The sequence below is a fragment of the Homo sapiens genome, chromosome 14 (genome assembly GCF_000001405.40).
Source record: "Homo sapiens chromosome 14, GRCh38.p14 Primary Assembly".
NCBI classification, from domain to species: Eukaryota; Metazoa; Chordata; class Mammalia; order Primates; family Hominidae; genus Homo; species Homo sapiens.
The window spans coordinates 44,375,502-44,389,257 of record NC_000014.9 but is presented as its reverse complement, the minus strand read 5'-3'; the positions used below and the strand labels follow the sequence as shown (position 1 = coordinate 44,389,257).

Below are 13,756 nucleotides of genomic sequence, written 5' to 3'. Positions count from 1 at the left end.
ACACTATATTTATTTTGCTGTTTATTTATTTATAATCTATATATCTATTATATAATCTATAATTATGTATCTATTAAATTATTTATAATTTATTAATGATTATATAATTGCACATGAGCACTGCTACTTTTTCATTTTGTGTTTTTAATATAAAATTCCTGTATTTTACAAATTTTTAACTAAAACAGCTACATTTAGTTCATTAGAGAGTTTCTTAAAAGTTTCTAAAATTTCAAAATATTTTGTTCTATCTTTTTTGTTTAGAATTTACATCCTTCCTGTTTTTCAAAAAAAATTGAAGTGGCTTATGAGATTACGCATAATACAAAATAAGAGAGTTAGAAATAGAATGAACAGATATCATCTAAACCATAGCAGAGGGAATGAGGTGAACAGACACCCAACATGAGTTGATAGAACTGGGGCACTGATCTTTGCTCTAACTTTCCCGTCAGCCAAGAAGAAAAGGAAAAATTTACAAAAGTACAGAACTTTAATTTCTGACTAGAGAAAGCATTAGGATATTAGGGTTTTTTTTTTAAATTTACTGGGCTCAAACTCAGATTGTGTTTTGGTATCTTGTCTAAGGGATGTTGTCTAAGGTACTGAGAAGTATTTTTGCTCCAATTTGAGACACACACATTCATTCTGTTCAAATATCATCATAAAATTTCATGCCTCCAATTAGAGGCATGGGATGCATGGCTCAAGGATCTGGCACAGCAGGCTGGCAGTCCCAACCACCTGCTTTTGCAGGAGCCTTCCCCTTCCCCTGCCAAGGGGTTTTACTCCACTGGGCAGTAATTGAACTAGTCTCCCTGGTGGAGGAACCACTTGCATAAGAGTAAGAGGTTCTTCCCTAGGCATTTTTAAACTGTTTTTTTCCTTTCCTCTTCTCCACCCCATCAGCAGTTTTTAAGCAAGTTTTGTTTTTTTCCTTTTAGAAGATGTTTTGCTATGCCAGGCCCCCCAACTGTCACTGTTTATATTTTCTGTAAAGCTTTAATTGTGAAAAAGGGTTTGTGGGGCTAGTCTTGGGCTGTGGCCAATCTGGTGTGCCAATTAATGCTTTCTTATTTGAAAAGTAATACATGTGTGTAGAAATAAGAATGTAAACGACCAAAATGGCATAAAATAAGAATGTTAAATTATTTAATAAAAAGTTAAAGTATTTTTAGATTCCTTACTTTCTCTCACCATCAGTCCCTTCCTCAGAAGTAGCAACTTATGGTATTTTAAGTTCTTTTGGTGGTTATGTCTATAACACTAAATAATATAGTTACACTTTATTTCTTGATTGTCAATTTAAGCAGTATTTACAGATTTTCTAAAATTGATAATGAAGGGGGCTCACTTACTCTTTTAACATTTCATTCTTTCAATCTCTCTCTCTCTCTCTCCCATTTTTATTAGTTATTATATTTTAATTCTTTTATTGATAAGCTGCAAATTCAGCTTCAAATATAGAGTAGAATTTTATTATTGGCATTAAAATCTTTATTTAAAAGAGCAGGCTGGATGCCCTGGTCCACACTTGTAATCCTAGCACTTTAGGAAGTCAAGGCCAGAGGATTCCTTGAGACTAGGAGTTCAAGACCAGCCTGGGCAACATAGCAAGAGCCCATCTCTACATTAAAAAAAAAAAAGAAAAAGAAAAACAGTAGTACTTAACACATATATTTTAAAATATATAACTGAATTATTTCAGTTAACAGAATAATTGATATCTTCTTATAGATTTCTGAGAGGAGTTTTGAAAGTCAGTGATTTTTATGTGAGGTGTATTTCAAGAACTCATTTTTTTCTTTGACTGCCTTTCTCTGATCTTTTTTTTAATCTAAAATTTTGATTTTGCATGTAACAGGGCTGGAGTTTCTTACTATGCAATACAGTCTACACCATTCTTCTGTTAATTGAGCTCATTTTCATCAAAGTTTTGGCCTATTCTTCAAAGAGCTTAGTTTAGTGGAGATCTCTAAGGCTTGAGAAAATGACATTTCTTCCATACATGTACTGTCTCCTGCAGCTTGTTTTTCTTGTATACTTACCTTCTGTCTTGTAACACTGTCTCCTTTTATTTATTTATTTTCACTTTTTTTTTGGTTTTTACTCCTCCTATTGATGTTTTGCTTTCTATTCTATGTTATGGGGCAATAATATTTTATTTTTTCTTATAGTATTGGCATCCTAGCAGAGATATAACAGGAAAATCAGAAAAAGAGAAATTTCTTTCATGGCAGTTCTTTTTCTATATTAGATTTCTCCCCTAAACCCAGAAAATTTGTTTTTTCTTTAAAAACTATTGGCTGCCTATTCCTTTGATTATATATTGGCCTCAAGACTTTCACATTTGAGTCCTTTAGTTCTCTCTGTGTGTTGCATATGAGTAGATGTGATATGCCAGAGCTTCTGAAGCAGAAGCTTTAAAAGGCAGCACACGTTTTTGGCCAGCTCTCTCACTCTTCCCTGTGGCATATCTAAAAGAGGAGCTAGTCCTGCTTTGATTCAGGAATTAGAAGTCCCATCTAGCAGAACCACAACCAATTCATAATTTAGGGGCAATGTGAGTGAAAAATAATTTTATAAGCCACTGGGATTTGGGGGTTGTTGCTTGTTACTTCAGCAAAGCTGATTAATATATGGGTCATATTTAAGCCTCAACCTTTGAAATATCTGGGCAAGGAGGAGCTACTCAGAATTTGAAATCACATGTTATTGAAAAAAGATGTCCAATTATCACATAAGTTTCTCAGCTGGTCTCTTTGAATACCTGAGTAAGAAGCAAAAAGCTGAAAAGATATCCCTCCTAAAATGATTCATCACATTAAATCTTTCTGATGTAAATTGTGAACTTATCCATAAATAATTTTCACTGTGTATAATAATCTGATATTCTTCATTGTAAGGTATAATTCTCTATGGTATTTTCTTGATGTGGGAGGCAGATCCTTCCAATTTCAGTTATTGATTTTATAATCTGGAACTGGAACTGACCAATAATAAAAGAAAATTCTGCTCCCACTGAGACAGCCTGGTGGGAAGGGGGTCCCTGGAGAGACACCAACCAGCCTGCCCACTGGGGTGGTGCCTTGGGAAGTTCAAGACATTTGCAGCAGGGAGGAGCCTGGCGCCTCCTCTTCCTGTGTGAACCTAGGATTTGAATGCGGGCAGGAAGTGCTTTAGCAGGAACTCTGGCCTAGCAAGAGTCCCTGTTTCCCCTTTTTCTTCCTTTTCATCCAATAAAGCTCTGTCTCACTCACCATTCAAATTGTTTATGAGCCTGAATTTTCGTGGCCATGGTGTGTCCGGAATTGGTGGGTTCTTGGTCTCGCTGACTTCAAGAATGAAGCCGCGGACCCTTGCGGTGAGTGTTATAGCTCTTAAGGTGGCGCGTCTGGAGTTTGTTCCTTCTGATGTTCCGATGTGTTCGGAGTTTCTTCCTTCTGGTGGGTTCGTGGTTCTCGCTGGCTCAGGAGTGAAGCTGCAGACCTTCACGGTGAGTGTTACAGCTCTTAAGGCGGCGCGTCTGGAGTTGTTCGTTCCTCCCGGTGGGCTCGTGGTCTCGCTGGCTCAGGAGTGAAGCTGCAGACTTTTGCGGTGAGTGTTACAGCTCATAAAAGCAGTGTGGACCCAAAGAGTGAAAGAACAAAGCTTCCACAATGTGGAAGGGGACCCGAGGGGGTTGCCACTGCTGGCTAGGGCAGCCTGCTTTTATTCTCTTATCTGGCCCCACCCAGGTCCTGCTGATTGGTAGAGCCGAGTGGTCTGTTTTGACAGGGCGCTGGTTGATGCGTTTATAATCCCTGAGCTAGACACAAAGGTTTTCCACCTCCCCACCAGATTAGTTAGATACAGAGTATGAGGCAAAGGTTCTCCAAGGCCCCACCAGAGTAGCTAGAAACAGTGTCCACTGGTGCACTCACAAACCCTGAGCTAGACACAGGGTGCTGATTGGTGTGTTTACAAACCTTGAGCTAGAGACAGAGTGCCGATTGGTGTATTTACAATCCCTGAGCTAGACATAAAGGTTCTCCAAGGCCCCCACCAGACTCAGGAGGCCGGCTGGCTTCACCCAGTGGATCCCCAACCGGGGCGCAGGTGGAGCTGCCTGCCAGTCCCACGCAGTGAGCCCGCACTCCTCAGCCCTTGGGTGGTCAATGGGACTGGGCGCCGTGGAGCAGGGGGTGGCGTTCGTCGAGGAGGCTTGGGCGGCACAGGAGCCCACGGAGGGGGTGGAAGGCTCAGGCATGGCGGGCTGCAGGTCCCAAGCCCTGCCTCACGGGAAGGCAGCTAAGGCCTGGCGAGAAATCGAGCGCAGCGCCGGTGGGCTGGCACTGCTGGGGAACCCAGTACACCCTCTGCAGCCGCTGGCCGGGGTGCTAAGCCCCTCATTGCCCAGGGCCGGCAGGGCCTGCCAGCTGCTCCGAGTGCAGGGCCCGCCAAGCCCACGCCCACCCGGAACTCCAGCTGACCCGCAAGCGCCGCACGCAGCCCCGGTTCCCGCTGGCGCCTCTCCCTGCACACCTCCCTGCAAGCTGGGGGAGTGGGCTCCGGCCTTGGACAGCCCAGAAAGGGGCTCCCACAGTGCAGCGGTGGGCTGAAGGGCTCCTCAAGTGCCGCCAAAGTGGGAGCCCAGGCAGAGGAGGCGCTGAGAGCAAGCGAGGGCTGTGAGGACTGCCAGCACGCTGTCACCTCTCAGTGGGACAAAGAACCCCGTCTTTAACTCAACTAAGGAAAAGTCCTCAACATTTTTGGTGCGCAACGTGGGGGCTCGAGAAGTGGTGAGTGAGATGCAAACCAACAATTCTTTTTCCCTCTCCCTTCTGAGCCTTTTCATCCTTATGGTCTTTTCCTTCCTTTTTCGGGCTGCACTGGCAAGCAGCAGCTCCTCACGGCTCTCCCCTCCATGCCGGGGCTGGGATACATGGCCCAAGGATCTGGCACAGCAGGCTGGCAGTCCCAGCCACCTGCTTTTGCAGGAGCCTTCCCCTTCCCCTGCCAAGCGGTTTTACTCCACTGGGCAGTAATTGAACTAGTCTCCCTGGTGAAGGAACCACTTGCATAAGAGTAAGAGGTTCTTCTCTAGGCATTTTTAAACTGTTTTTTTCCTTTCCTCTTCTCCACCCCATCAGCAGTTTTTAAGCAAGTTTTGTTTTTTTCCTTTTAGAAGATGTTTTGCTATGCCAGGCCCCCCAGCTATCACTGTTTATATTTTCTGTAAAGCTTTAATTGTGAAAAAGGGTTTGTGGGGCTAGTCTTGGGCTGTGGCCTATCCCATGAGCTTTGCATGTCTGTATGGTTTGTGCTGCAAGCCTCCATGTTGTTTTACACACTGGGGGCATGGCCTGTAACTGCTTGGCAAGGCTTTGTTTAGGAATCCTGCCTTAGGGAATAAATTTCTTTCTGGTTTGATATCTGCAAGTTTTCCTAGCCCTGTCTCTTAAAGGGCCCCACCTAGCAACTGGGTTTTCTTCTGCCTGTGTGTGTGTGTACTGTGTGTAATCTCTGTCAAAAGAGCTTTAGTTAATTTGGCCTAAAGAAAGACATGCACTTGGATCTAATATTTTTTAAAGGGAAGTTAAAAGCTGTGGAAACTTTCAGTTGATGACTTTAAGAAATAAAGAGAGCGCTAAAGACTACTGGTGAAATGCAGGTCAGGTGCAAGGTTTGCTAAGTGTTTTGAGGTTACAAACTGCTTTTTGGGTTTTGAGAACTATTCGACTTGCTGGCTTCATAAGTGGTGAGGCCTGGGGACATATGGAACTAACCACTCGTTAACTAATAAGGCAAACCTTGGCTGCAGTTAGCACACAATTAAAGCAACTTACCAAGTTTTACCTTAAAGTTCAAAATTGCTAGGAGTTAATTGGAACTACTAGAAATATATTTACATGCAGAGTGTGTAAGAACAGTAAAATGTGTTTTTTAATAAAAGTTATAAGAAGGCATGGAAATGTAAACTTTTGCCTCCAGTTAAAGGATTGTTATGAGTTAAATTAGGAAAAAGCTAAAGGTTCAAAGAAGTCTTGCAGAAGAGGTTCTCTGTGTGAACATACTGACTAAATTCGAAAAAGGGTATTATATGGTTTTTCTGTAAATTTAGTATTGAAATAAAACCATAGCAAGGTTTTCCTAAGGCACTAATCTGCTCTTTGGCAAAATTTGTAAGGGGTTATAAAAGGTTTTTGCTTCTTTAAATTTCTGAGCCATAATTTTTGGCAAAATAAATAACTTATGGTAATCTGGAATTCTATTTCATAATATCAAGTATTTTAAACCTTGAACATTTAACAGCCTTCCTAAAATTAAACTTCAGTTTCAAAACTGTCTTTCCTGACACGTGGCTTTTTGGATAGTCCAGAGGGCCCCTGGAATGTCCAGAAAATAGAGGTAAACAGGATTATTTGACATATTTAGGTACATGAAGTTGTCAAAATGATGCTCAATCTCCTTTAGGTTATATCCTGGTGAATAATGCTAATATGTGTTGCAGAATTGTATGGGATTTCTAAAATTCTAATGTCTAAGTATATGCTACCAATCATAATTAAGGTTTTTATTTTGTTATGATAAACCATGGAGATAACCAAACTTCTTTGTCAGTTGTGTTTCTAACTGTAACTAACCTGGACATTTTCCTATTCACAGACAATTGTTTTCTTATTTTAATCCTTCCTAAAAGATGGTTTATAATGACCTGTAGAAGTTTAAGAGATACTCTTAAATACAGCCTTCTGATAACTTTAGAGATTGTAACATTGGAATAACGGAAAATGTACAAGACTCATGAAGAGCTGAAATGCTCATGAATATCAAGCAAAACAAGAGTTAACTAAATGAATTGAACTCAGGAAACTGAAGCAAATCTTTTTAACCTTTGCTTGGAAAATTGCTGATCCATGTTTTGTTTTTTGGAGTCAAGGAAACTTTGAACTATTTATGGACTTTAATAATTAAGTAGGTATACTCCTGTGTTCAAGATTTGGAGCATGTTTGTTTCTCTCTGCCTGGTTCCTCTAGAATTTGGAAACTATCTGTGAGTACTACTATGACAATATTGTTGTTTGCATCAGTGCAATAAGAATCCATTGTCTTTTGGAACAGGACACAATTGGAGAAAGTGGTTGTTTTACCAAGGCTTTGACTGAAAGGGTATGCTCCCCTTTAAGGAGTCAATCTCAACTTGCAGAGCTGATAAAAGCCCCATGGGAGAAACTGGCCTCATACCCTTGTCTATGCAGTCCCTGTACAGGGTTCCTGATCTGTGGTCAGTAAAGAATGTCACTTTCTAACAGGTCCAGGAGCTCCAAGTTTATCCTGGGACCTTAAGAGGAGAGGATCACCCAACTCACAAGTATTTGAGGATAAACCATGGCTGGGCTAGGCTTTAAAAGGTCTTATCTGAGATTCCTTATGGAGCAAACTTCCAACAAGCCAATCAATCCAAAAGGTCTATGTAGAAATCATTATTCTTGCTGCACTTTATGAGACTAACGTCTATTTTGCAAAAAAACCCATTCAGCCCCATGATGATTTGTTTTTTTAAACAAACATGAGGACTGGAGAGAGAGAAATCATGTTTCAAAACTTGTCATATTGTAATGCCCAACCTTGTTTTTACTAACCCTGTTTTTAGACTCCCCCTTTTCCTTTAATCACCTAGCCTTGTTTCCACCTGAATTGACTCTCTCTTAGCTAAGAGATCCAGACAGACTCCATCTTGGCTCTTTCACTGACAGCCCCTTCCTCAAGGACTTAACCTGTGCAAGCTGACTCCCAGCACATCCAAGAATGCAATTAACTGATAAGATACTGTGGCAAGCTATATCCGAAATTCCCAGGAATTCATCTGATTGATAACGCCCAAAACCCCGAGTCTATCACCTTGTAATAGTCTTAAAGCCCCTGCACCTGGAACTGTTTACTTTCCTGTAACCATTTATCCTTTTAACTTTTTGCCTATTTTATTTCTGTAAAATTGTTTTAACTAGACCCCCCTCCCCTTTCTAAACCAATGTATAAAAGAAAATCTAGCCCCTTCTTCGGGGCCGAGAGAACTTTGAGCGTTAGCTGTCTCTTGGTCGCCGGCTAATAAAGGACTCTTAATTCGTCTCAAAGTGTGGTGTTTTTCTAACTTGCTCGGGTATAACAATATATTTGTCATTAAATTCTAAACTCACTAGTTGTTTTTAAGTTTTTTGCCTACATTTTAGACTAACCCTGCTTGCTTCTGTGAACCAACCAGCAATCCCTGGCTGCAGCTCAGAAAGAATAGGAGGGATAGGTAATGTAGAAATTCTGATCAGTATTCTAGCTCTGAGCAATTATCCTGTAAATCCTGTTAGGTGATGGGAATGAATAGGATGCCCATCACTCAGAGGTTTCCTTTTGGAAAAGTAAGGCCAAGGGAGCTAACCAAAGCCAAGCACCATGCACCCAAATCTTAGCAAGCATAACTATAGCCACCACTTATTTGGGTGTGTCACAAGACATCCTTTCCTCTCCCTTTTTGGAGGAGGACTCAGTTCCACAGTTTCACCTTAGTTCCACAGTTTCACCTTAGCGTTTGGTTTATGATAAGGAGTCCATGCAACACCCGAGACACATTTTTGTCCCAAAATCAATTCCAAGCTTCGGGGTCAAAGCCCTAGGAAGGAAAACTGTACTGAGGGGTCCAGAGGCAAATGACAATAGAGGTTAAAAAGCACAGCACAGATGAGCGTGGCTGATTCATGCCAATTAAGCCAACCCCAAGCTTCCTGTTTCATTGATAAAGGCCACGTTAATATCCATGGCATAAATGAGGTAAAGGGAACTCCAAGGCTACTGACAGTAGGTGGAAAAGAGACATAGGTGAGAGTGGGTAATTCCTTTTCTCTAGGCCCCCCTGCTTCATGGGTGCAAGCCACTTTAATACCCATGGCAGTGCCTGCCAAGGTTGCTGGAACTCGGGCATGCAAGAATGGAAAAAGGAAAGAGGATGCTCTTCCCTCTCTCCCTCACGTACTCCGGGTATCTGCTAGAAAGAGACGGGAACCAGGGATGCCTGCTCCCCTTTTTCTAGATGGGCAGCCATTCATCTTCAGTCTGTACCCCTTTCAAATGCATCCTGAACCCCTGGGACTTCCTTGAAAGAACACCTTTTTCCTTTCTCCTTCTCAATTCTCTCTTCATTAATAGGTAATTATGTCTTCATACTATGAGGTACTCCCCTCAGATGCATCCTTCAATCTGGAAAGAGTTAATTTTCTAAACCTTAAACTGGTTGGCTTAGGATTGAGCTCAGGTGAAGGGAATCCAGAAGCCCAACACAGCAGCAAAAGGGTAAAGTTTTTTTTTTTTTTTACCAGTCGGGCTTTTGGCCTCCCTTTCCCTGTGTAAACTGGTAAAAGGCCTCAGAATTTTTGAGCTGTCTTTACACCTTGGCTTGTTTTGTTTTGATACATGTTTTCTAGTAACCCGGCTTATCTTCTTGCCTTCAGGCCATCAAACTCCAAACAGTCATGCAACCGGAGCCTCTGATGGTGGCTCCTTAAATAGGACTCTGGGGAAGCTCTGACTGCCATTTTCCCAAAACTGCACCCTGTCAGCAGGAAGCAGTTAAGATCGGTCTTCATCTGTATCCTAATCTAATGGCAGTTAGATGTACTTCCTTAGAGGGAGGGATGAGACAGCCAGATGGGAGGGGTTCCCCAGAGAAACTCCAGCCAGCCTGCCCACTGAGGTGGAGCATTACAACTTTCACAACATTTTCAGCAGGGAGGAGTCTGGCACCTCCTGTTCCTGTGAGGAACTTGGGATTTGAATGGTGAGAGGGAAGCACTCTAGCAGGAACTCTGGCCTAGTGAGAGTTCCTGTTTCACACTTTTCTTCCTTTTCACCCAATAAAACCTTGTCTCACTCACCAAATTGTCTGCGAGCCTGAATTTTTGTGGCTATGGGACAAAGAACCCCATCTTTAGCTGAACTAAGGATAAGTCGTGCAACACCACCATAGGAGTTTATGAGCATGTAAATACACAATTATAATGCCAATGCAACATCAAGGCAAAATTTTGCCACATTAAAAAAATAGTTTTGTCAGTGCTTACTAATTTTTATAATCATGAAGTTGTTATGTAGATCCTTATACTGTATGAGGAAAACATCTTTATGTTTTGTCTGTAAGACAAAATTTTAAGAATCACGTTTTTGTAATTGTTATAATTTAGTTTTAAACTATGATAATAATTTTAAAGTATTTTGAATCTGCCTGTAGACTGTATATAATTATATTGGACAAAGTCCAACATGTACTGGCAAAGGGAAAGTTGAGTTGATATTTGAAAGCTTTTCAGTATTGGAAAAAAGGTGTTTTTTCTCTTCTGTTGACTTACATATTACTTTCATTGACCATAACAAGTATGATATATTAGTGATCAGGTGTAATTTGTAAATAAAATATCTTTTACTTTTCTTTTAAGATTATATATTAGTGTAAAGTTATAGTGAGTGTGCATTTATGGTGAATTGCTGCCAACAACAAGCAATTTGACATTTGATTTTTACTAGAAAAAAGAATGAAATTTAAACTTTAAGCAGTATCTTTTTTGCCAATATTTTACCATGAAATATGTCAATCATTTAGCAAGCTTAAAAAATGTTATTGGGAAGACTTGTACTCTCACCACAAAGATTCTTTCATCAGTACTTTACCAATATTTGCTTTATTGCATATTTACCCACCTATCACTGTAAACTTCCACCAATCCATCTTATTTTGGGGTACATTTAAAAGGAAATTGCAACATTACAGTTTTTCCTAAATATTTCAGCATGCATATAATGAAATAGAGTTCATTATTTGTTTATAATTTTTCTTTTGATGCAAAGTTACATGAAATATGCACAAGTCTTAATTGCATATCAACAAAGTTGTGACAAATATGTATGCTTGTGTAATCAAAACCCCTAACAAGATATAAAACATTACTTTTATCCCAGACAGATTCCTTATCCCTTTTCCCAGTCAATTCCGCCTGATATGGTTTGGCTGTATGTCCAACCAAACCTCATCTTGTAGCTCCCATCATTCCCACGTGTTGTGGGAGGGACCCAGTGGGAGATAATTGAATCACGGGGATGGGTATTTCCATGCTGTTCTCATGATAGTAAGTCTCACGAGATATGGTGGTTTTAAAAATGGAAGTTTCCCTGCACAAGCCCTCTTCACTTGTCTGCTGCCATGTGAGATGTGCCTTTTGCCCTCCACCATGACTGTGAGGCCTCCCCAGCCATATGAAACTGTGAGTCCGATAAACCTCTTTCTTTTGTAAATTGCCCAGTCTCAAGTATGTCTTTATCAGCAGCATGAAAACAAACTAGTACAGTAAATCATTACCAGTAGAGTGGGGTGCTGCTGAAAAGATACCCTAAAATGTGGATGCGACTTTAGAACTGGGTAATAGGCAGAGGTTGGAACAGTTTGGAAGGCTCAGAAGAAGGCAGGAAAATATGGGAAAGTTTGGAAATCCCTAGAGACTTGTTCAATGGCTTAGACCACAATGCTGACAATAATATGGACAATGAAATCCAGGCTGACCTGGTCTCAGATGGAGATGAGGAACTGGTTGGGAACGGGAGCAAAGGTGACTCTTGTTATGCTTTAGCTAAGAGACTGGTGGCATTTTGCCCGTGCCTTAGAGATTTTTGGAACTTTGAACTTGAGGGAGGTGATTTAGGGCATCTGGTGGAAGAAATTTCTAAGCAGCAAAGCATTCAAGAGGTGACTTGTGTGCTGTTAAAGGCATTCAGTTTTAAAAGGAAAACAGAGCATAAAAGTTTGGAGAATTTACAGCCTGATAATGCAATAGAAAAGAAAATTCCATTTTCTGAGGAGAAATTCAAGCTGGCTGCAGAAATTTGCATAAGTAACAAGGAGTGGAATGTTAATCACCAAGGTAATGGGGAAAATGTCTCCAGGGCATGTCATAGGTCTTAACAGCAGCCTCTCCCATCACAGACCCAGAGATTTAGGAGGAAAAAATGGTTTTATGGGCCAGGTCCAGGACCCCCCTGCTGTGTACAGCCTAGGGACTTGGTGTCCTGTGTCCCACTTGCTCCAGCCATGGCTAAAAGGGGCCAAGATAAGCTAAGGCTGTTGCTTCAGAGGATGCAAGCCCCAAGCCTTGGAAGCTTCCATGTGGTGTTGAGCCTATGAATGCACAGAAGCCAAGAATTGGGGTTTGGGAACCTCCTCCTAGATTTCAGAAGATATATGGAAGTGCCTGGATGCCCAGGCAGAAGTTTGTTGCAGGGGTGGAGCCCTCATAGAGAACCTCTTCTAGGGCATTGCAGAAGGGAAATGTGGGGTCAGATCCCCCACACAGAGTCCTTGCTGGGGTACCACCTAAGTGGAGCTGTGAGAAGAGGGCCACCATCCTCCAGAACCCAGAATGGTAGATTCACTGACAGCTTGCACCATGTGCCTAGAAAATCCACAGACATTCAATGCCAGCCAATGAAAGTAGCCAGGAGGGAGGCTGTACCCTGCAAAGCCACAGGGGAGGAGCTGCGCAAGACCATGGAAATCCACTTCTTGCATCATCGTAACCTGGATATGAGACATGGAATCAAAGGAGATAATTTTGGAGCTTTAAGATTTGACTGCCCTGCTTGATTTCAGACGTGCATGGGGCTTGTAGCCCCTTTGTTTTGGCCAATTTCTCCCATTTGGAATAGCTGTATTTACCTAATGCCTGTGCCCCCATTGTATTTAGGAAAAGTAACTAACTTGCTTTTTATTTTACAGGCTTACAGGCAGAAGGGACTTGCCTTGTCTCAGATGACACTTTGGACTATGGCTTTTGAGTTAATGCTGAAATGAGTTAAGGGTGGAAGGGACTTGCCTTGTCTCAGATGACACTTTGGACTATGGCTTTTGAGTTAATGCTGAAATGAGTTAAGGGTAGAAGGGACTTGCCTTGTCTCAGATGACACTTTGGACTGTAGCTTTTGAGTTAATGCTGAAATGAGTTAAAACATTGGGGGACCATTGGGAAAGCAGGATTGATTTTGAAATGTGAAGACGTGAGATTTGGGAGGGGCCATGGGCAGAATGATATTGTTTGGCCCTCTGTCCCCACCTGAATCTCATCTTGTATCTCCCATAATTCCCATGTGTTGTGGGATGGACCTGGTGGGAGATAGTTGAACCACGGAGATGGGTCTTTCCCATGCTGTTCTTGTGATAGTGAATAAGTCTCATGAGATCTGATGGTTTTAAGAATGGGAGTTTCCCTGCACAAACTCTCTTCTCCTGTCTGCTGCTATGTGAGATGTGCCTTTTACCCTCCACCATGATTGTGAAGCCTCCTCAGCCACGTGGGAATGTAAGTCCAAAAACCTATTTCTTTTGTAAATTGCCCAATCTTGGGTATGTCTTTATCAGCAGCATGAAAATGGACTAATACTCCACCCTACCTCTTGGCAAACTAATAATTGCTATAATTTTTTTTCACCATAGAATAATTTTGCTTGTTATGGAATGTAGTATAAATGAAATCATACAGTGTGTACTCTTTTGGGTAAGGCTTCATTTACACAGCATAATGTTATGAGATTCACGTATATTTTATGTGTATTAAAAAATTGTTTATTTTTATCATTAGTATTCCATTGTATAAATATCTAACAATTTGTTTATTCTTTTGCATATTGATGGATATCTGGGCTGTTTCTATCTTTTGATATCATGAATACAGTTATTATGAGCATT

At 41.3% G+C, this 13,756-nt stretch overlaps 1 long non-coding RNA gene across 1 annotated transcript in view; it reads left to right on the top strand.

The window, feature by feature from the left end:
- The first annotated feature begins 3,196 nt into the window (after positions 1–3,196).
- LINC02307 (long intergenic non-protein coding RNA 2307) overlaps positions 3,197–13,756 on the top strand; it is a 395,530-nt gene continuing 384,970 nt past the window's right edge. The window contains exon 1 of the long non-coding RNA NR_187192.1: positions 3,197–3,364. This is a non-coding gene — a long non-coding RNA (long intergenic non-protein coding RNA 2307). The remainder of the gene's footprint in view (positions 3,365–13,756) is intronic.